The sequence below is a fragment of the Homo sapiens genome, chromosome 17 (assembly GCF_000001405.40).
Source record: "Homo sapiens chromosome 17, GRCh38.p14 Primary Assembly".
Taxonomy (NCBI): Eukaryota; Metazoa; Chordata; class Mammalia; order Primates; family Hominidae; genus Homo; species Homo sapiens.
The window spans coordinates 46048474-46073347 of NC_000017.11; the positions used below are offsets into that span (position 1 = coordinate 46048474).

The following is a 24874-nucleotide window of genomic DNA, read 5'->3' on the forward strand; positions in this document are numbered from 1 at the left end:
ACAAAACTGCTTGAACCCAGGAGGTGGGGGCTGCAGTGAGCCAACATCACACCACTGCACTACAGCCTGGGCAACAAAAGCGAGACTCTGTCTCAAAACAAAACAACAACAAAAACAAAAACCCACCAGTGATTTGAGAGGAAATTCCTACCTTCTGTAGGCTGGGCACAGATCATGAGATTACGTGAAAATTCAATGAAACCAATCCAGATTATGAAAGCGCTGGCTTCCATCTAGAATAGTGGTTTCAAAATGTCTTTGCTCATGCACCCCCATTTGATATGTGATTTTTAAAAAATCATAATTTCAGATAGTTGTAAAGATTATATTTGAATACTACATAATGCTTTAAAAACATTTTTATCAAAACTTTGGCATGTAAATATATTTAGCTTCATTAATTGAAAAAAAAAACTTCTTTTAAACTTATTTAGCTAATCAGACTTTAGATATTAACTCAGTATTTATTCTAAGACAGACAAGGAATAGGACCATGTAACTGAGCTCAGACCCATCCCAGCCACTCGAAGAGTTAGAGGGAAATCTCTTAGTTGCAATCTTTTAGTGGTACCCTCTGGTTTGGTAGATCTGTTGCAGTCTTTTTGGAGAATTCTAAGAGAAGACTTGGTTGATAGGAGTTCCTGAGTTATCTCTATTTTATTTTTAAAATTCAAAACTTTTTTGCTTAATACCTGGGAGATTCTCCTTCAGGTGCTGAGAACTCTTAGAAATGATCTCTTTATTTGTTGTCCCCACCATCCAAGACCTTTTTTTTTTTTTTTTTTTTTTTTTGAGACAGTCTTGCTCTGTCGCCCGAGCTGGAGTGCAGTGGCATGATCTTGACTCACTGCGACCTCTGGCCTCCAGGTTCAAGCGATTCTCCTCCCAAATAACTGGGATTACAGACATATGCCACCACGCCCTGCTAATTTTTGTATTTTTAGTAGAGAAGGGGTTTCACCATGTTGGCCAGGCTGGTCTCGAACTCCTGATCTCATGATCCGCCCGTCTTGGCCTCCCAAAGTGCTGGGATTACAAGCGTGAGCCACCACACCTGGTCTCGAACTCCTGACCTCAAGTGATCTGCCTGCCTTGGTCTCCCAAAGTGACGGGATTAAAGACGTGGGCCACGACACCGAGCCTCAAGATTTTTACACTCTGGGGCAAGACCCATAGTGGGACTCAATATGGCCAAAAGGAATGCTCTTCTTTTGTCAAGTGGGAGAGGTACAGGTATGGGAAGGGAGGTGGGAAAGGAGGGCTGTCAGACACAGAGATTTAACAGGGAGGCAAACTTTAGAAAGACAGTACAAGCTAACAACGAAGATTTGTGCTTATCTACACCCTGCAAAGCTGTCGCGTTACCACATAAATGCCAGTATGAAGATATTCTCCTAGAACACTGCCGTCCATCCTACATTATATCATGGCACGCACAGACAAAACTTTTTTTTTTTTTTGAGACAGAGTCTTGCTCTGTTATCCAGGCTAGAGTGCAATGGTGCAATCTTGGCTCACTGCAACCTCTGCCTCCCAGGTTCAAGCAATTCTCCTGCCTTAGCCTCCCAAGTAGCTGGGATTACAGACAGGCACAACCACGACTGGCTAATTTTTTATATTTAGTAGAGACGGTGGTTTCACCATGTTGGTCAGGCTGGTCTAGAACTCCTGACCTCAGGTGATCCGTCCACCTCAGCCTCCCAAAGTGCTGGGATTACAGGCGTGACCCACCACGCCTGGCCCAGACAAAACATTTTTAAAGATATACTAAGCGTATTTTGGACCAGATTACTGTGGCTAGAGGCAACTGAGCCCAGATCCCTCCTAGCTACTTGAAGAGTTAGAAGGAAATCTCATATTAAGTTGCAACCTTTTAGTGGCACCTTCTGGTTTGGTGGATCTGTTACAGTCTTTTTGCAAAATTCTAAGAGAAGACTTGGTTGACGAAAGTTGTACCTTGAAAGTATCTGAGTTGTAACTGCACCTTGGCTGATTTTCTTTCACCTAGAAGTCTCTCAAGTTTCTTTCATTAGACTTTCTAGTCTGTGGTCTTTCTTACCATCTGGAAATGCTAGAACAGGATGAACACAAGAGTCCAACTGGGAAAGACGTTCCAACAGAGGGGCTTCATAGTGAATTTCGGGAGGCATGGTGTTGATGCTGCCTGAACCACACAGTGCGCAGGAGGGATTCACATCACAGCCAGGGCGGATTGTGCTGTTCCGGTGAACCTGTGAAAAAAGCCAAACAAAACTGACAATTCAGCATCTGATAAAAAGCCAGCTACCCATTTGTTATCCCCATTTGTTATTGAGAAGTTAGCTCCCCATTTGTTATTGCGAAGACCTTTCTAGATACTTGTGTGACACTACTAAAAGGATGTTTGATTAGTTTGTTAAAAGATTTCCATTTGTCTAACACACTGACCTTCAAAGTGGGTAAGGAAACTTGCTTCCTTTTCATTGATGAAATCTAACTACTTGAAGCTCTAAGTGCTTACCTAGGTATCAAACTTCTGACAGTTTAAAAAGATACTAAAACTGTGCTTTCTGAGAACACTTTATAAACTCTGCATGCTTTCACGACCTTGATGGTCCGCTAAGACGAACAGTTGGTTCTTGATTCCCAGGTGGGACATTACTTGCTTTCTTCAGCAAATTTATCCACCTAGGAGCCTTCAATTACCAACCACACCTCTTCTCTTCTTTTCACACCTCTTCTTCAAAAGACTTTCAGGTGGTCTCAAGCCAGGTGGCAAGCTTCCCTGAAGCTTGTAACTTAAAAGTAACTTATTAACTACTCTTTAACCTGGCCTAAAATCCACTGTTACAAAGCTCATACCTAAGTAATAAAATAACATTTTGTACAGCAAATGCTCACTTTCATAGTCTTCATGTTAGATTAATTCCAAAGGGTAGAAATTATTTCCACTGAACTTCCTTTGTGCACATGTGGGCAGAATAATTGATAACCTCTCCAGGTAAGTCCAAAGTTAAATATGAACTAATTTAAGTCTTCAAAAGATTGAATTCTGTATAAAAACTGAACATCTACAATTTTATACTTTGAGCAAATTTCAGGTCATGCTGAATGCAGGATCCCTACATTCTAGTGTTAGGATGAACAAGTCTGGCATTTGCCAAAGCCTAACTCATAAAGTCACCTGGACACACAGCCCCAGAAAAAGAAACTTGCATGTTGAATGGCACTATAAGAAGGCATCCTAGGTGCAAGCTCAGTAGTAGAACAAAGACAAAAAGCATCAAAACTCTACTAGCAAAAACTCTAACATTTACTAGAGCTCCATTTATTTTCAGCAGAGACATCTCGAAAGCCTTTTATGGATTTGTGTAAGAGAAAGATATACATAAGAACAATGTGGTCTTTATCAACATTCCCCCGACATTCTATTGTAACCACATAGAGAGGTGGCACGCAAATAAAGTCTTTTAAAGGTTAGACTGGGCAAATCACACAGAACTAGAAGCCACTGAAAGGGAGTGATACCAACTAGGCATGCTACTTTTGTGTAGACAATATTAACTGGTATTGTTTTGGGAAAAAAAAAATCCCTGTATCTATGTAATCAGAGCTGGCTTTCTGGAGAGGATGACATTTTGAGGTAAAGAGAAATGAGTAGGTAGAGATGAAAATGAGATCACACAGTGGGTGAGTGGGAGGATTTAGGAAAATTGGTTAGGATCCAAAAATTACACTGAAACTTTCAATATTCAAAAGAGATTATCTCACTCCAGTAGGTATAGCAAATAAAAAATAAAAAGAGAGAGACTAGAAACCAACCCATGACATCAACTAGCTCTCCATATGGGACATTTAACAACACTACATTTTATGGCTAGAGTGTATCACTTAAGTCAAAGTCAATATTGGGAGGCCAAGGCGGGTGGATCACTTGAGGTCAGGAGTTTGAGACTAGCCTGGCCAACATGGTGAAACCCCGACTCTACTGAAAATAGAAACGTCAGCTGGGTGTGGTGGTGGGAGCCTGTAATCTCAGCTACTCGGGAGGCTGAGGCAGGAGAATCGCTTGAATCTGGGAGGCAGAGGTTGCAGTGAGCTGAGATCACACCACTGCACTCCAGCCTGGGCGACAGAATGAGACTAAGTCCAAAGACAAGCAAACAAACAAAAAAACAAAACAACAACAATAAAAAAATTCAATAGATGTGGCTAGGCGTGGTGGCTCACAACTGTAATCCCAAAACTTTGAGGTGGGAGAGAGGATTGCTTGAAGCCAGGAGTCTGAGACTAGCCTGGGCAACACAGTAAGACTCCATCTCTTAAAATAAAATTTAAAATTAAAAAAAAAAAAAAAAAAAATTTAGCCCAGCATGGTATTGCATGCCTTTAGTCCCAGCTACTCAGGAGGCTGAGGGAGAAGAATCGCTTAAGCCCAGGAGTTCAGGTTATAGTGAGCCATGATTGCACCACTGCACTGCAGCCTGGGAAAAAGAGTAAGATCCTGTCTCCAAAAAAAAAAAAAAAAAAAAAAAAAAAAAAAAAAAAAAAAAGGCTGCGCATGGTGGCTCACGCCTGTAATCCCAGTACTTTGGGAGGCCAAGGTGGGTGGATAACCTGAGGTCAGGAGTTCGAGACCAGCCTGGCCAACATGGTGAAACCCCGTCTCTACTAAAAATACAAAAAACTGGGCATGGTGGTGGGCACCTGTAATCCCAGCTACTGGAGAGGCTGGTAAGAGAATCACTTGAACCTGGGAGGCAGAGGTTGCAGTGAGCTGAGATTGCACCACTGCACTCCAGCCTGGGGAACAAGAGCAAAACTCCGTCTCCAAAAAAATTTAAAAATTTAAAAAAATAAAATAAAGGGTAGAAATTCTACTTATAACTTGACAAAAGGGTAATGTGCACACATGTAACTTAAACAGTAATCTCACTTTTAAATTAAAAACTGTAAAGTACTAATAGAACCCGAGGAGTATATAAAAATATATTTAATACTTATTTTTTTTTTGAGACAAGAGTCTTGCTCTGTCACCCAGGCTGGAGTGCAGTGGCGCAAGTCTGCCTTCCAGGTTCACACCATTCTCCTGCCTCAGCCTCTCAAGTAGCTGGGACTACAGGCGCCCACCACCACACCCAGCTAATATTTTTGTATTTTTTTAGTAGAGACAGGGTTTCACCATTGTTAGCCAGGATGGTCTTGATCTCCTGACCTCGTGATCTGCCCGCCTCGGCCTCCCAAATGCTGGGATTATAGGCATGAGCCACCGCACCCGGCCAAAGATATATTTAATACTTATTAAAGGATACATTTTGGAAAATTTTTGAAAGAAAACTTGAATTCATACCCATGTTGCACAAATCCACACCAAGAATCTATCCTGCAGACAAACTTAAGTGTACACACGCACACGCTCTTCCACTGAAACAAGATGCCAAATCATCTGCATGAATTCATTTAAGTTAAAAAACAACAAGAACACATACAATATTGTGTTTTACAATAAGAAAACAAATTTTTAAAAATATCACAACAGATGGTGTGCATGTGTAGCCCTAGCTATTTGGGAGGCTGAGGTGGCTCACTTGAGCCCAGGAGTGAGGAGCTATAGTGATCATGTCCACTGCACTCCAGGCCTGGGAGACAGAGTGAGTCAGTCTCTTAAAAGAAAAAAAAAACAAGGATCTCCTGGGCTCAAGAGATTCTTCTGCCTTAGCCTACCAAGTAGCTGGGATTGCAGGCATGCACCACCACGCCCAGCTAATCTTTTATATTTTTAGTAGAGACGGGGTTTCACCACGTTGGCCAGGCTGGTCTCAAACTCCTGACCTCAGATGATCCACCCGTATCAGCTTCCCAAAGTGCTGGGATTACAGGCGTGAGCCATCGCGACCGGTCCCAGTCATGAAATCCTATTGGCAGAATCCAACCACTTCATACCACCTCAACTACACTCAATCTAGTCCAAGTCACTATCTTTTCTCAAATGGGTTTCTTCAAGCCTCCTAACTGATCCTCCTCCTACTGGTTCTTACTTCCAAATCAATCAACACAGTAATCAGTGTAAATCTTGTTTTAAAATCTCAATCACATCATACCAACCTCATAATCTTCCAAATGACTTCTCATCTCACGAGGAATAGAAACCAAACTTCTTGCATGGTTCCCACAAGGTCCTATAGTATTTGTCGCCTCTATCCCCTCTCTCTGACTTCACCTCATTTTTTTGTTACTCTCCTAGCTGACACTACCAGTTACTCTGATTTCCTTGCTATATTTCTCCAAGATAGCAGGCAACCTTCCAGATCACAGGCCTCTGCACTTGGCTCTTCAACCACTAATTCCATGGTCATTCTCTCACATCGTGTCTTTTTCTTTAAATGTCAGTATTCAAAGTAACTTTTTTTTTTTTTTTGAGATGGAGTCTCGCTGTCGCCCAGGCTGGAGTGCAGTGGTGGGATCTCAGCTCACTGCAAGCTCCGCCTCCTAGCTTCATGCCATTCTCCTATCTCAGCCTCCCGAGTAGCTGGGACTATAGGCGCCCGCCACAACACCTGACTAATGTTTGTATTTTTTGTAGAGACAGGGTTTCACGGTGTTAGCCAGGATGGTCTCGATCTCCTGACCTCGTGATCCGCCTGCCTCAGCTTCCCAAAGTGCTGGGATTACAGACGTGAGCCACCGTGTCCGGCCCAAAGTAAGTTTTATTTAGAAATACAAGTGAAAGGCCAGGCGCGGTGGCTCACGCCTGTATTCCCAGCACTTTGGGAAGCCAAGGCAGGTGGATCACCTGAGGTTAGGAGTTCAAGACCAGCCTGACCAACATGGTGAAACCTCGTCTCTACTAAAAATACAAAAAATTAGCCGGGCATGGTGGCGGGCGCCTGTAATCCCAGCTACTCGGGAGGCTGAGGCAGAAGAATCGCTTGAACCCAGGAGGCAGACGTTACAGTGAGCTGAGATCGCACCACTGCACTCCAGCCTGGGCGACAAGAGCAAAACTCCCTCTCAAAAAAAAAAAAAAGTGAAAAAAGATTATATTCTTGACTGTAACAACAAAAAATGCCCTGGAATAAGTTTAACAAGAAATTTAAGCACAAAGCTTAAAGATATTGATATTCTACAAATTAATGCAGAATCTTAATAGACTTGAGGGGGGAGGGGAGACAAGGCAAAGGGGATTTAAACAAATAATCTAAAAGATACAACTGAAAGAATGTAAGGAACCATTCCCCAAAATTTCTGATAAGCAAAAATACAGGGGAGTGATCTGGCCTATTACATGTTTTATAGTTACAGTAATTAAAATAATCTGCCCTCGGTTAAGAAACAGAAAATTTAAATAAAAACAAAAATTGACCAAAGTATATATGACAGTTTATTGTTTAACTAAAATAATACTTTTAAATCAGTTTAAAAAAACAAAAGGAGGTATTACTTTTTCAACAAATGAATCAGGAAAACCAAGAGGTCATACAGAAGAAAACGGCTGCATTTCTGCCTCACACCAAAATTAATTCTAAATAAAGATTTATTCATTTTCATTTTATTTTATTTTTTTGATACAGAGTCTCGCTCTGTTGCCCAGGCTAGAGTGCAATGGTGCGATCTCGGCTCACTGCAACCTCCATCTCCGGGTTCAAGTGATTCTCCTGCCTTAGCCTCCCAAGTAGGTGGGATTACAGGCACCCACCACCAAGCCTGGCTAATTTCTGTATTTTTAGTAGAGACGGGGGTTTCGCCATGCTGGCAAGGTTGGTCTCAAACTCCTGACCTCAGGTAATCCACCCACCTTGGCCTCCCAAAGTGCTAGAATAACAAGTGTGAGCCACCGTGCCTGGCCCCAAATAAAGATTTAAATATAAAAACAAATATTATACTCAAATCTAAAAAAAAAAAAATTGTGAAGCAATATATAGTGGTTAACAGTATGAGCTGTGGAGCCAGACTGCCTGGGTTTGAACCTTGACTCCGCCACTTACTAGCTGTGTGGCCTTAAGACAAGTTACTGTGTCTTCATCTTTACTAACAGGAGAGTACCTGATAGAGTTGTTTTAAAGATAAATAACTCACAACAGTATCTGGCTCTCGACTCTTAATCACTTTTGTAAAACCGTAAGTATAGCTACTGATAGAACATTTACCATCAAACTTGATAGAACATTTACCATCAAAGATCTTGATTTCAAAATTCTAGCTTCTTAACACTGTATAATATGATCATTGATAAGTCACATGACATCCTTAAATTTTCTCACTTGTTAAAAAGGACTAATAATACCAATTTCATGGGAGTGTAGGAAAGATCAAATGACTCTGTAACTGTTAAAACATTACACAAATGTTAGCTAAATTAGTATACCGCATGATTTCTCAACAGCTGGCACTTCTTTGTTGTGGGGCACAGTCCTGTGCACTGTAGATATCTAGCAGCATCTCTGTCCTCATGGTGCATGTGCCTCCCTACTCCCCCAATTTGTGAAAATGAGTAATTACTACAGATATTGCCAAATGTCTCCTGTGAGGACAAAATCACTGAGAACCATGAGGTTCAAATTACGGTCATCCCGTCTAGAAAAATTCAAAGCACAGGCTCCCATTAAATATTAGTGGTGAGTCACAGTAAACATAAGACTCAGTAAAAAAGGAAAACAAAAAAAATAAAAATTAATAGTAAGAACAAAGCTCTCAAAGACTATTGTCAAGAACAAGCCTGAAGAGAGCTTCCCCTACCAAAGATCAGATAACGTTAGCATCATAAAGAAAAGACTACAATGGCTTGAAATACCTCAAATATGTTTCAATCAATGACTCACAGCCCCTTCATGAAAAACTTCAGTGACTGTCCTTAGAGGATAGTAGAAAACTAATTTGTTATTTTGAAAATTGGTAAATAAAAAAAAACAACAAATCATGCTTTCTTCTGTACAAACTGTACCTCAGGGTAAACAAATAGTTGAAAAGGACAATTTTCCCTTTATAAACATATTCTATCTAGCTAATAAAAGAAAAACAGAAATGATACAAGTAGAATATCACCATTCTTCAGCTTCCAATTTAACAATGGGTCCAGGCAATGATCACCAGTGGTTGATAACAAACAGTTTAGTCATTACGTGTCTTCTGATACAAGCATAAGGCGGCCACCTTGTGTTTTCTCACGAAACTAAAACTGGACTTATTCACGTTTCTACTAGTTTTCAAGAAAAACAAGGGACAGAAAAACATCACTGTTTTTTAAATGCACTAAAAATAAGATGGATTAATAAATGGAAGGATGATTGTATGCTAAAATGTTAGTGGTAGAACCTAGGGAGTAGCTACATAGGTGTTCACTGTAAAATTCATTCAACTTCGTATCTGAATAATTTCATAACAAAATTTGGAAAAGAAAACAGTGACACCACAGGACTTCTGCTTCTAGCAGAGTAATAGTGATCAGATTTACCTTTCAGTCATAAACCAGAAAACTGGACAACAGGCAGTATAACACTGAGAAATAAATGGGGTGGTCTCTAAGACTGCCCTGGTTTTCCGTCTGGAAGTACATTCTAGACTGCAGGGCAGGGAGAGGATCTGAAGCAGAGTATAATAGCTTCACTGAGTTGAGGAAGCAAATTCTCACTAGATCAGAATTCAGAGACTAAGGAAACTGAAAATTGCAAGGCAAAATTCTTGAGAGGAGGAAGCTTTACAGAAAAAGAGCCCCAGAAATCTTCATAAGATCCCCCTGAGTGTTTGCTAAATATTAAAAGGTGCATGTAAAGGGTGAAACTATCAGGCCAGGCAAGAGCAACTAGGCAGCTGTGAGCTGAAATGGTTTCCACAGCTAACACAAGCCTGAGAGGCTTTTAAACTGTGACCAGCCAAAGTTGCATAGAGAATTCAAGACAGAAGATCCTGCTTTAGTTGTGGAGCTAGACTACTAAGGTGGCCAACTCCTCACCTGACCTAACAAATGACAAGGAATTTACCTGCCAGCAAAACAAAGCCTCTTTAAAGGAAGATGGCACAATCCACATGCTACAAGCAGGGAAAATTATTAATTGGATTTTCAGCTTAAAACATAAATAAAACATTGTTAGATATGCCAAGAGGCAAGAAAATACTACTATAGGGATAAAATTTTTAAAAGAAAGTAGGCTGTGGGAAACTAAGGTATCAGATAAATGAAGTTTTCTCAACAAATAAATCACCTATATGGATAGCTTGTATCAAACCAACACTCTCACTAATTGGAAAAGCCAGATTTAAAACACACACACACACACACACACACACACACACACTCTCTCTCTCTCTCTCTCTCTCTCTCTCTCTCTCTCTCTCTCTCTCTCAAAACATAAGAAAAATGCTGACATAATGACAATATTGAAAGCTAAGATTCCAGAGAGGAAAAGAACCTGGCCAACATGGCGAAAACCCATCTCTACTAAAAACACAAAAATTAGCTAGGCATGGTGGCACGTGTCTGTAATCTCAGCTACTTGCTGAGGCAGGAGAATCGCTTGAACCTGGGAGATGGAGGTTTCAGTGAGCCAAGGATGTGCCACTGCACTCCAGCCTGGGCAACAGAGCGAGACTCCATCTCGGAAAAAAAAAAAAAGAAAGAAAGAAAAAAAAAAGAGCAGAGCTTTTGGTACTCTTGTAGGGCTGAATGGATAACACTAGAGACTTGAAATGTCAAATTATCAATAAAAAGAGGACAGGGAACTAAGCATGACACACTTCCAAGTACCACCCTCCCAAAGAAAAAGCTGAAGTTGTGAATGGTAGGAGGCTACAAAGCTAAGTGGAAAGTCTCTGAAAAGGGCAGAGATGTTTCTGGCAGTCTCGTGAGGAGACTAGAATTAGATCTCAGGATATGCTAAGAGGAAAGGAGGCTGGGCACAGTGGCTCACACCTGTAATCCCAGCACTTTGGGAGGCTGAGGCGGGCAGACCACCTAAGGTCAGGAGTTCGAAACCAGCTTGGCCAACATGGTGAAACCCCGTCTCTACTAAAAATACAAAAATTAGCTGGGCATGGTAGCACGCGCCTGTAGTCCCAGCTACTTGGAAGGCTGAGGCAGGAAGGAGAATCATATGAACCCGGGAGGCAGACGTTGCAGTGAGCCAAGATCATGCCATTGCACTTCAGCCTGGGTGACAGAGCGAGGCGAGGCTCTGACTCCAAAAAAAAAAAAAAAAAAAAGAGAGAGAGAGAGAGAGAAAAGGAAACTGATCAACACATGTTCTCAGCTGGAACTAAGAGAGAGAAACAGACTGTTATCTTTTTGAGACAGAGTCTAGCTCTGCTGCCCAGACTGGAGTGCAGTAGCTTGATCTTGACTCACTGCAACCTCTGCCTCCCAGCTTCAAACCATTCACCTGCCTCAGCCACCTGTGTAGCTGCCACCACAGCTGGCTTTTTTATTTTTGAGATGAAGAGATTGCACCACTGCACTCCAGCCTGGCGACAGAGCGAGACTCCATCTTGGGGGAGGGGAGGGGGACAAAAAACAAACAACAACAACAAAAAATCAGCCTGTGCAACACAGTGAGACCTGCATCTCAATAAAATAATGAGATAAAATACTTGATACACGAAGAAATTCCCACGTTCCCTTAATTAATACTGCAATGCTATCAATTCTCTTTGAAGGAATTCCCAAGAAATACTCAATTTAATACTTATGAAGGAATTAATACCAAAGTAAAACTCTATTCACCATTTTCTGTTAATCATAGCATATTCGTCCAAAACACTAAAAGAATTCTTTTGGCTCAAGGACAGGTTATAATCATTTGCTTTTGCTTTGCATTTGATATTCGTTATCTAACTCATCCACTGTTAACATGTGGAAAGATTTTCAAAGGTTTGGCAACTCTATCACAATCAAGCATATCCCACAACTGGCTCTTGAAGATCCATCAGAGTGAAGAAACAAAACGTGTAAGCTTCTATTTTATCTCAGTCTTTCAAAATTTATTTTGTATGTGTTTTATAATGTATATATAAAACACCGTCATAACAGTTTAGAGGTAACTGTTCCAAGCACAGAGTGATTTCTGAGTATTCTTTTAGTAGCTTTATGTCCTAAGGTACAATTTTCTACATGGCATGCTTGCTCCTTTCCAAATGTCTAACTAGTATGAAAAAGTTGGTTGGGCCTCCAAGGTCTATTGCACTCTGTCAAGGAAGAACGTATCAAATTATTAACTTTTAATACTGACTCATATTCTAGTTCATTAGTCCTCAACCATGGTGTCATGAAACTGGATTTAAATAGGTGGAATCAAAACTAGGAGGCCTAGAATCATATATTAACACCTTTATTTACCCTGATGTCTACAGGAAACCTGGTCATAGCCATGAGAGAATGCCCTGTACAAAAATGTCACTCTTCAAGTGTGATACAATGGGAAGAAGAGGAGGACTACTCGGAATTCTATGGAAGCCAGCTTTAAAATTTGGCCCAGAGCAATCCCCCCTATGACAACAAGGACTACAAAATTCTAAAATGATGCCAGTACACTGCCAATTTGTTAGGAAATTGCTACTTTTTAAAAAATTGAAAGAAATGCTATTAAGGGCAATAAAAATTTCAAGGGTATGTTAGTAATAAATGTAGCCATTACCTATTCTACTGGTTATTAGTACAAAAAAACCCAGCCTTTTCAACCATTCATTTCCAAACACTGATGGTTTCCACTGCCAGACTATACACAAGTTTCTAATGGTCCACAGTAAATTGAGAATGAGAACAATGCAGTAAATTATTAATAAAACTACATTCTTTTCTTTTTTAAAAAAATACTATTTGTCTTATGGTTTAATTATAAACATAATTTTACTTAAAAAATAAAAAGCAACCTTATTTGAAAATTGGCTGGTACCAATTTTATTTTAATAACTTTATTGATCTGAAATCTTAGTACGTTTAGGTTAAGTTATAAACACCTACTTCACTTAGGCACTGGGCCAGGAAAAGAACATAATGGCATATAAGAACTTTCCACTGGAGTGCTTCTTCATTCACTTAGATAATTACTAACATCCACCATACTAGACCCCTAAAGTGATGAAACACACAATAAATAGCAATATAGGCTATTCAGTAATTACAACTAGTAATTCCGTCATTTTATAATAAAATTATGATTTAGGAAGTACTCCATGTTCTCCATGAGCCTTACTCTGATATTCACTTACCACACCCTAGTGGTTATTCCTTAGATTACATTTAAAATATTCCACATTCAGAGTTGTAGAGGCCTTAGACTATTATCTCCTCCAGGATTACTACTGTTAGTCTGTCTTTCCACCTCCAGTCTCTTGTGCCAATCCATCCCAAACATAATAGTTACAGATTGGCCGGGCGCGGTGGCTCACGCCTGTAATCCCAGCACTTTGGGAGGCCAAGGCGGATGGATCAGCTGAAGTCAGGAGTTCGAGACCAGCCTGGCCAACATGGTGAAACCTTGTCTCTACTAAAAATACAAATATTAGCCAGGCGTCGTCGTGGGTGCCTGTGATCCCAGCTACTCAGGAGGCTGAGGCAGGAAAATTGCTTGAACCCGGGAGGCGGAGGCTGCAGTGAGCTGAGATTGTGCCATTGCACTCCAGCCTGGGTGACAGATCAAGACTCCGACTCAAAAAAAAAAAAAAAAAACAAACAAACAAAAAAAAAAAAAAAACATGTTACAGCAGATTTACCTCCCCCAAAATAGCTTACAACACTTCTCTGCTCAAAAATTTAAAACTTATAGACTGAAACCCAAATCATCAGTTTGGGCATTCAAGGCTTCCTATTTATTTACTGATAGATCTCATTTCTCTTTATTCCCAACGAGTTTAACTTACTGAACACTTTGTTTTAGTCATTGATTTTAAGAAGTACAAGTGATATAACAACAGCTTTTTTTTTTTTTTTTTTTTTTTAGATGGACTCTCACTCTCTCACCAGGCTGGAGTGCTGTGGCGAGATCTCAGCTCACTGCAACCTCTGACTTCTTGGTTCAAGCGATTCTCCTGCCCCAGCCTCTCGAGTAGCTGGGATTACAGGCACGTGCCACCACGCCCAGCTAATTTTTGTATTTTTAGTAGAGATGGGGTTTCATCATGTTGGCCAGGGTGGTCTTGATCTCCTGACCTCATGATCTGCCCCACCTTGGCCTCCCAAAGTGCTGGGATTACAGGCATGAGCCACTGTGCCTGGCCAGCCTTTTTAAGGGCAAAAGAGTTACTGCACTAAACGTGCATCTCAATTTTAAGATATATTCCAGCCATAATTCAACTAAGCTGATAGCCCTTTAAAAACACAGTAATTGGGCTGGGTGTGGTGGCTCACGCCTGTAATCCCAGCACTTTGGGAGGCCGAGGCGGGTGGATCACTTGAGGTCAGGAGTTCGAGACCAGTCTGGCCAACACGGTGAAACCTCATCTCTACTAAAAATACAAAAAATAGCTGGGCGTGGTGGCGTATGCCTGTAACCCCAGCTACTCGGGAGAATGAGGCAGGAGAATCGCTTGAACCCGGGAGGAGGAGGTTGCAGTGAGCCGAGATCGCACCATTGCACTCCAGCCTGAGCAACAGAGCAAGACTCCATCTCAAAGAAAAAACAAAACAAAACAAAACCTCAATGAGTTCCCTCAAGTATGTTTTATTTGGTTCTGGAATGCAGTAGAGATCATTTAAGATGCAGGTAAGGAAAAAATATTAATCACTTGCTTTGTGTGTTCTGTACTCTGTACTCACAATAACTGTGAACTCACTGTCATGTAACAATATTAGAACATAATTTACCTGTTAACTTCTTTGCTGTCATTAGAAAGTAAGCTCCATGAAGATAAGGGCTTTGTTTTCCTTACCAATGCAACCTGGCTGCCCTGAATAATACGGTGGGCATTCAAAAATGCTGTTGAATAAATCTGTCTGGAAAACCGAGCAATTCAAGATGACAGAAGACAAGATGCTTGCTCATCAGCAAATACCACTGAGGTCATGTCATGAGTGAGGAGCCATGTGAGACACAGAAAGCAACCTAGACAGAAGGAATGGGGTGTGTCTCTAACTCTGGAAGAACTCCAGCTTTCTGCTAGATCTAGTACATGGTATATTTCCCAAAGTCAACTAATTTCTCTGTCTTATTTTTCATGCAGCTTACTTTTGTGTCAGGATGATTCTGTTTTAGAAAGTGGCATTGGAACAAAAGGATATTTAGTTTTATGCCTATCTCTTGCCTAAGCTACCTTTTATAATTTTATATGTACATTCAAAACTACATTCGTTCTTAGGCATGGATCAGAAGAAGGTTGGCTACTTCACATATTAAAAAACAAAATCCAGGAGGCCACCACATACTTCAGAAAATTTTTATACGACTCCTGATGTCATGCCATAGTGGCTGGTAAACTGCCAAAACAGAGGAAGGGTGCTTTATTTTCATGAGGTGGCGGTTTTTTTTTTTTTTTTAAAATGTAAAAGCATTCTGTGTTAAATTCATCAAGGAATTGACAAAAAGCTATTTTCCTACACTTGACAGTAATATACTGTTTTCTGACATTCCTGTTATCAACTCCTCTGAAAATCTTTTAGAGATATACGACTATTAGTAAAAAAAAAAAAAAAAAACAAAAAAAAACTGAGACTGAAATGTCAATATGAAAACCCTGCCAAATACCTTATTCTTATCTATTTCTGCTATTTTGATATTTCAGGTAGAGTCCGAGGAATAGACAGGAAGAAATGGTATCGCCTGACAGTCAATTCTACAATTCTTTTCTTTAAAGAGAACATGGCAAACTTACACAGTACAACTGCATACTAGAATAAAACAAGGAAAGTACTGAAAATTCACCATGCAAATACTAATTGTTCCAGCAATTCTCTCATCTCCCTTATTTGTCATTAGCAAATATGTTGCTAGTGGCTCTCTTAAGAAAAATTCCCATTCTCTGCTCTCTTTTACAGCAACATTCTTTGAAAATGTTATCTACAATGGTTCCCTCAATTCCTTCTGTGGCCTTGTCTCCTGAAACCACTCCAACCATGCTTTAATTCACCTTTCTCCCTCTACCAAAACTGCTCACCAATGTCTGCAACAACCCCACCCCACTAAATTCAATGGTCTCAATTCTCAGCCTTCATCTTACTGATCCTGTCTGTAACAACTGACACAGACAATCCCTCCTCCTCCTCCCTCTCCAAAACACTTTCTCCCCTTGCCTTTCACATACCACACTCTCTTGGTTTTTCTTCTACTTTATTCGTCACTCCCTTCCCAATCCTTTCCTCATCTTTCACAGGAATGAGGAGGAATACCTAAGCTCTGGAATACATCAAAGGGCTAATCCATATACCTCTTCTTTATCTGAGCTCTCCAGCACTCTCTATTCCCTCCTCTATTGCATTTCTCTCTCCAGGATTTTTTTTAATTAATTAATTTTTTATTATTATTATACTTTAAGTTTTAGGGTACATGTGCACAACGTGCAGGTTAGTTACATATGTATACGTGTGTTTTTTTTGTTTGTTTTTTTGTTTTTTTAAAAGACAGAGTCTCAATCACTCTGTCATCCAGGCTGGAGTGCAGTGGCACAACCATGGTTCACTGCAGTGTCAACCTGGTGGGCTCAAATGATCCTCCCGCCTCAGCCTCCTGAGCAAATGGACTACACACGCTCGCCCACAGCAGGCTTTTTTTTTTTTTAAAGATATGGGGTCTCACTATGTTGCCCAGACTGGTCTCAAACTCCTGAACGCAAGTGATCCTCCTTCCTCAGCCTCCCAAAGTGCCAGGATTACAGGTATGAGCCACTGTGCCTAGCCTCTCTCCAAGATTTAATGCTATAGGACACACTGCAGAGTTCATTTATTATTTTCTTTCTCTTAACAACTAGAATATTTCATAGGGTAAGCACTTTTGTCTGTTTTGTTTAGTGTTGTATACCCAGTGACTAGACAGATTTAGCTCGTTGCAGGAAGCCAATAAATATTTGTTGAAAGAATGAATGAACAACAACAAAAGTGGTAACAATAACAGCCACTTTGTACGAGGAACTTATCAACCAGACATCCCAATAAGCATGTTACATATATTTCATTGAACCCTCAAACAACCCTATGAGATCTCTGAGGCTTTGGAGAGGAGTGGAAGTCAGGGTGGTTAACATGCACCAAATTACCAAACTACTAAGTGGTAGTACCATGATTCAAACCCAAGGTTATCATCTTCAAAGATAATGCTCTTAATTCCTGCACAGTACCAATTTTACTGGAATATTATTATCTCATTAGTTTTGGAATAAAGGCAACTGCTATTTGAAGAGTCAGCAATCTAAAATTCCCTACAGTTGTGAATTAATCTCCATTTCCTTTGTGAAGACAAACTTTTTTTTAGTAATATCAATTTAAAAACTTTAGTGAAGATTCCTTTTTTTCTCAGGCAGGGTCTCACTCTGTCACCCAAGCTTAAGTACAGTGGCACAAATACAGCTCAAAGCAGCCTCAACCTTATGGGTTCAAGCAATCCTGCCTCGGCCTCCTGAATAGCTGGGACTACAGGTGTGCACCACCATGCTTAATTTTTAAATACTTTGTAGAGATGAAGGTCTCACTATATTTTCCAGGCTGGTATTCAATTCCTAGGCTCAAGCAATCCTCCCGCCTTGGCCTCCCGAAGTGTTGGGATTACAGGCATGAGCCACTGCACATGGCCAAGATTCTTTTTTAGGGCAAAGGATTCTATACTGCCATTTTCAGTGATAACAGTGAAGGTGAGAGGGCACACTATTCTCCTTCAAAGTGTTAAGGGCAGTACTTAAACTTTCAGTCTCTCCCATTTCTATTAAAAAGCTCAAGACAGTGGTTTTCAAAACTAGCTGCAGAGTCACCGAGGAGCTTTGTGTTTTCTGAAAACAAGATTCCAACATCCAACTCCAGAGCAAACAGGGCCCAGGAACCTAGTATTTTATAAAGCTCCCCAGAAGACCTTGGTGGTTAGCCAAGTTTAGAAAACACCAAAGTTGGCAAGAGACTAACTCTATCTGAGCATCTGGCTCACTGCTTGACAATGACCAACTCTCATCTGTACCGACCTTCTTGGAAAGAGGAACGATGCTGTTGGGTCGAACAAGCCTCCGCTTCTTACAGCTCAGTACAGGACGTGTCCGGGCTGCCACACAGGTGCCATCAGATGATGAAGAGACGAGATTCAGTCGTTGCTTCTTATGTAATTGTTCCTCAGCATCAGAGCTGTCACCTGGAATGTGGTCTGCCAAGACAGGCTGAAGACTATACAAGGGGAAGGAAGAGTATTCTCAGAACACACAAAGAAACAAAATAAATAAACAACAAGAAAACACAAAGAAACAAAGCCTCTTATACTAGTTCAACCTCTATTTGCTAATGTTCAGACACAAAGAAGCATTCTAGAGCAGAAGCAGGTCTCCTCTTGATGTCTGTTAATCTACCTGTGTGTGCTTATGTGTAAGGTTCTTGGTGCACATTAACTACATCATGTCTGAAAGATAAAAGTCAATAAATAAACTCAAGTTCTAGTGATTGAGTTCTCCTCTACATCAAACACACGAGTAAATAAAGTCTAGAGAACTACAGTTGGTTAGAAAATGATGAATTTTGCAAATGTTAATGGGCTTCCTTAGAATCAGTTCTATGAAACCCGAATTTTAAGGGTGTTGTACACATCATTCACTTGTACAGAATCTCCCTGAATCTTTTGTTTTCTCCCTTGAATCTTCATAAATACAGATTTACAAACATAGCCCTTGGAGATCTAATCTGTCCTAAGCAGAGGAGGTTAATATAAGCACTTCTGAGGAATTCCTGCAAGATTAAAACAATAATAATTCACAGTAACTGTAGTGTCTTTTATTTTACTCCATGCCCACTCCATTTTAGTAGGTAAAAGGAAAATATACAATTAATTAAAATGCACTGCTTCATTATACAGTGAAGATTAAAAATGTTACTAAGTGATAAGGCTTCCGCTTCTTTAAACCAGGGTCAGTCCTGGCTAAAGAGAACTAAGAGCTCCAAAACACCTTTACAAGTCTACTAAGTGTAGGAAGTAGAAGAGCTAAAACTTACGTGTTAATAACTCCATTGACAGGTCTGAGTGCTCCACATGATTTGGTAGACAGTGACTCTGAAATATGACCAATAATAGGGGCACCATGGTTTTCCAATGGCTGAGAAACAGACTCAATCTGATTAAGAAAAAGGAAAAAAGAAATTAACATGTACCCAAGCGCACCCCTGCCTGAAAAGCACCACCACTTCATTTGCACAAAGCACCTAAAACTTCTGATGATCAATTTGAAAAACACAACTTGAATGACTGAAGAAAAAGAAAATAAGAGAATCAGTGGTCAGGTATGATGGCTCGCAACTATAATTGCAGCACTTTGGGAGGCCAAGGCAGGAGGATCGCTTGAGACCAGGAGTTTTGAGACCAGCCTGGGCAACACAGCGAGACCTCATCTCTAATTAAAAAGAGAGAGAGAGAGGTTGACAGAGAGAAGGAGAATATTATATTAGCTTTTGCTTTGGGGGGAAGAGGGATGAGGAATCCAAATGTACAGACTAAAAGTAAGTACCTATTGACAGGAAAATGACCTCAATAATTCTATGGAACAGAAGCTTAGCAAAACAATTACACAGTAACATAAGCTTTCAACTAATGATCAAGAAGGATATACTAACATCAGTATCAAGATGACTAAGAGGAAATTTAAATGTAGTTAATATCTGCTTAACTCTAACAGAGTATGCTAGAAGCTTGTTTTCTAAAAACTATGCTTTGTTTAAAAATATACACACAGGCCGGGGATGGTGGCTCATGACTGTAACCCCAGTATTTTGAGAGGCAAAGGTAGGAGGATCTCTTGAGCCCAGGGGTTCAAGACCAGCCTGGGCAACATGACAAAACCCCATCTCTACAACAAAAAAATACAAAATTAGCCGGGCATGGTGGTGCGTGCATGTAGTCCCAGCTACTCAGGAGGCTGAGGTGGGAGGAGGATCACCTGAGCCAGGAGGCAGAGGCTGCAGTGAGCCATGATCATGCCACTGCACTCCAGCCTGGGTGACAGAGTGAGACCCTGTCTCAATGAATAAATAAATAAATAAACACACACACACATTTTTCCCTGACAGAAAACAAAGTTAATAAAATCTCAATGAATCTAATTATCTGATGCTATCAGATACTAACTATTGTCTTTAGAGTATTCAAATCAAATATGTTTAGAATATAAAATGAAATAACAGATGAGAAAGAATAGAAAAAGTGTGATTTGCAGTATTCAAAACAAATTATATATTTACTAGGCTCAAAACGGATAGGAACAGTATGAATGCCAGTCATATAGCACCTCTGAGGTATAGGCAATAAAGCAACAGATGCAGCTATCCCTCAGTTCTAGCAATTGTTGAACTATCCCAGAAAGGCTATGGGTCTTTGACTCCTTACTTTATTTTTTTGAGATGAAGTCTCGCTATCCCGCCCAAGCTGGAGTGCAGTGGCATGATAGCAGCTCACCGTAGCCTCCACCTCCCTGGTTCAAGCGATTCTCCTGCTTTGGCCTCCTGAGTAGCTGGGATTACAGGCACACACTACCATGCTCATGTAATTTTTGTATTTTTAGTAGAGATGGGGTTTCACCATGTTGGCCAGGCTGTTCTTGAACTTCTGACCTCAACTGATCTGCCCTCCTCGGCCTCCCAAAATGCTGGGATTATAGGCGTGTGAGCCACCACACCTAACCTGTCTCCTTACACTTGAACTGACTCTGGGGCACGCTGAAGTTCTCTTTCCTATAAAAGCTTTCAAGGTAAATATTCCTATAAATGCTTCCTACAAATGCTTTCAAGGTAAATATTTTGAGGCTGAAATTCTACTTTTCAATACTGATTTCTTTTGTCTTTATACCCCCAAGGATAAAACACCAAAGGACTGAACCTGAAAGTAGTCCTAGACAAGCATCAAAAAGAACAGACTGAGGCTGGGTGTGGTGGCTCATGCCTGTAATCCCAGCACTTTGGGAGGCTGAAGCAGGCAGATCACCTGAGGTCAGGAGTTCGAGACCAACCTAGCCAACATGGTAAAATCCCATTTCTACTAAAAATACAAAATTAGTTGGGCATGGTGGCGCCTGTCTGTAATCCCAGCTCCTCCGGGAGGCTGAGGCACAAGAATCACTTGAACCCAGGAAGTGGAGGTTGCAGTGAGCCAAATCACGCCACTGCACTGCAGCCTGGGAAAGAGAGAGAGAGAGACTGTCTCCAAAACAAAACAAAACAAAAAACAAACAAAAACAAAAAACAGATTGGGAAGATAATCTAAAAGTTTTAATACAAATTATCCTAAAATACAGATCAAACTATATACACAGACAAGTCATATAAGTATGCTACAATGAGTGAACACCGAGAAAAGGCTGTCTTTTTTGTTGGATATCCTGTACATCTACTAAGATATCACAAACATCTTGAACAATTGTCAATGCTATCAAAAATTACAGTAAATCTGGCATAGACACATTGCCTTAAGCTCTATGCAGATTTCCCTTGGAAAGCAACACGGTATTAAGCAGCAAGAGCTATAAGGATATTCCTATCTTCTGACAAAATATTCTAACCAATTTTTAAAAATCTACCCTAAAGGAGTAACTCAACAAACACAGCCCCAAAAATCTTATTCACAAAGGTGGTCACTGCAATGATATCTATCAATAATCTAAATGTTGTAAGCATTATAACTATAGTTATCAGTTGTGGTACACCAAATCAAAATATTAAAAAGAATCATAAAGGATATTTCTTCTCTTATGGAAGAAGAGATTTCAAGAGAAAAAAATAATAGTTTAATATAGTTGTAGTGACTAAAAATATACATACACAGATAACAACAAGACAAAGAGTGTTACAGTTGTAAAACTATTCTGAAATTTTCTTTACATTTTAGGTAATAGTTTTATATTAAAAAGAAACCCCCATAAAACCAAATACCCTCCTGAATGCTAGTAAGGATTTACTACACAGGGGAAACCTCAAAAAGGCTAAACAAATATGGTATGACAAAGAACAAGAAAAATCAAAAGAATTTAAGATTCAGGTTGGTATTAACTAACAGATGTATAACTTCAGGCATGTTATAGGTATTCTAGATTTCAGAAGTTCTGGTTTAGATGAAAAAGTTTCCTTTCAATAGAAAAATGCTGTTTAAAAATGCTGTTTGTTTTTATTTCGGCATTAAATTATGGCAGTGATTTGATTTATATATGGTATATATAATTTATATGGTATATTTGATTTATATATGGTATATATAATTTATATGGTAGTGCCTTCACGTGTTCTAGAAGGTACTACGTTTAAGTAACGGGTTGACTGACTCTCCATTTGATTAAGTTTTTCTGGTAGGGATTATGAGATTTAACTGCAAGAACACTTGTCAAGATAAAATGTTGCCATTCTCTAACAAAGTCTCATTTCAAAACATTTATCTTTCTTATACAAAGTCTAAAGAAGAATATGTCAAGTAAAATCACCAGTAATGTCACGATCCATATAGCTAACTACTACTGCTATAACAGCCTGTCTTGTTTCTCATGTCTGCAGGTGTATATATTTAAATGCTATTCAGCTTTAACATGAATGTTATTGATTTTCTTATAGAAACCTGAATCTTCCTGGAGTAATTCAGCCCCCAAATCAAAATTGAAGTCAACAGGCAACACATTATTAACATGGAAATGTTGTCAAGAACATAGAGGTATACAGAGGTCAAGAGCATAAACATCAGAAAGGGACTGTGGCTGGCCTGCATTCCCAGCCACAAAAAAGAAAGCACTGGATACTCAGGAAGGATCTACTTAAGATCTTGGGAAATTCTGTAATCAAGCTAGTATCCAACAGCAGGCATTTGGACATGTCCTGCAACCCATCATCAATGCAAAGAGCTTAAAATATTAATCCCAATCACAGTGTTCCATTTGGAAAAAGAAAAACATAACACACAAACACATGTAATTTCACCTAGCTCCTTAAATGCAGGCACTCTCCCTTGAGAAAAAATGAACATTTCCTATCCTGCAGTCTAAAAGGCTGCAAATGCAGAGGATAAACATTAACAAACACTTAAGAAATATTAAATCCGCATACTAATTTCAGCTTATTACTACTGCAGTGGTTTACATCATTAGTGTTTTTAGAAAACTAAAGCATGACTGAGATATCTGCTATCCAATAGGCAACTGCAAAAAGGATGAAAGAACTTAAGACTCTCCTACCTAGAAAATAAGGATTATCACTGAAGCTTCCATTTGAATTTTATTTGATGTTGAGATGAACTCAGGGTTTATGCATCCCACAGCCAGAAAGAAAGAGTAGAAAAGCTAAAGTGGTAGACAGAGTGCCTCTGTAATCCCCTCCTCTCCAAAGCAGGGCCCTAGGGGATTATCTTTTGGAGTAATCTTACAGTTAAAGGTAGCAAGGAGGGTTGCTGAATTGCTCCCCCCACCCCTCCCCCCGCCCCGATTGAAAGGGCCAGGTGTACAGCATAAAATTACTAACATAGCAATGAGATTCAAATTTGTTATTCACATAAAGCAGGCATCTCATTCATTACTCCACTCTGGGCCAGATCAAGTAAGCGTGACAAAGAGGCCTTGAATGAAAAGCTAAAACTAAATAGTTTTTACGGGGGTCGTTTTTTCTAGGGTCTAAGAACCAATGTCTACTAGATTTGTTTCACCAAAAAGTAGAGAGGGTTAAGGGGTAAAAACAGAGAGCCACACACTTAAAAGCACACAATAAAATTAAACTCTACCTGCAAATATGTATTTTTACTTTATTCAATTAATGCCATGTCACACCTGCTTGCAATGTCATTTTTTAAATGTATCACATTCGTTTGGCTAGAAAAGTCAACAGTTCAGTTTTGGTTAGTTATTCCCTTTCTGACAAACATTAAAATGGAAAGAAAATGCTAACTGGGTGACAGGAATTTAACTTATTCCTGGGTTAAAATAGTTTTTGACTTTGTATGATTGATTTCATGTCTCAAGCCCACCCCACCCCCATTTCAATGATACTGAGCATAGTTTCGCTTAAATTCACCAAAATATTGCTGGCCTATAAATAGTATACTAGCCATTTCCATTAGCTAGCACCATGGCCATAAAATTGTACTAAACAAGAAGTGGAATGTTCTGAAAATTCCATTTTCACTAAGTTATTGCCTAGGCTTTAATTTCTGCCTATGTGGGGCTATGTGCCTCACTTTCCGGCTTCTGCAGGTTGAGGATAAAAGAAAATCTATAAAATTACATTATAACAATTTTGAACTCATTTTTTTAAAGTTTTGATTAGCATAATGCTGTTACTAATCCAATGGTTCCTAAGCCTAAGATTTATGTTTACCAACACTTGAAAATAACTATCTAGAATTTAAAGAAATATAGCAAATGCAAAAATGCATCTTAAATTCTTATTGTTCAACTTATTTATCCATAGCCCAATTTATTATAAAAGACCTAACTTGTCAGTGTTTTCTAACACTGTGGGTCAAATATTTCTTGGCCAATATCTGTCCCTTTACCTTCTATCCCAAAACCCTTGTCAGGCCAATGAACTACTCACTGTCCCTAGAGACTGCAAAACTTCAAAGAAAGGAAGAGTATTCCTACTTACACCAATGGAATGAAGATGTATCTTGGACTGTGTAAAAAGAAACAGCAATAGCTTACATTTTTAGCATGCCTTTCTTCTGAGAAAGCATTAGCTCTTCACTTAATAGTACACTTGTTTTTCTCATCACTTCTGTAAAGTAGGATGAGCAAGGAAAGGGTAAAGGAGCAGGATCATTTTACAAACAGAAACTAA

General features: G+C 39.7%; 1 protein-coding gene across 30 annotated transcripts in view; it reads right to left on the reverse strand.

The window, feature by feature from the left end:
• Positions 1-24874, reverse strand: part of KANSL1 (KAT8 regulatory NSL complex subunit 1) — a 195452-nt gene that overhangs the window by 18558 nt on the left and 152020 nt on the right. For all 30 annotated transcript variants that reach the window (NM_001405885.1, NM_001405884.1, NM_001405883.1 and 27 more), the window contains 3 exons: positions 19076-19194; positions 18064-18259; positions 2060-2231 (listed from right to left, as the gene is read on the reverse strand). In NM_001405885.1, coding sequence (NP_001392814.1) covers positions 2060-2231; positions 18064-18259; positions 19076-19194 — 487 coding nt within the window. The remainder of the gene's footprint in view (positions 1-2059; positions 2232-18063; positions 18260-19075; positions 19195-24874) is intronic.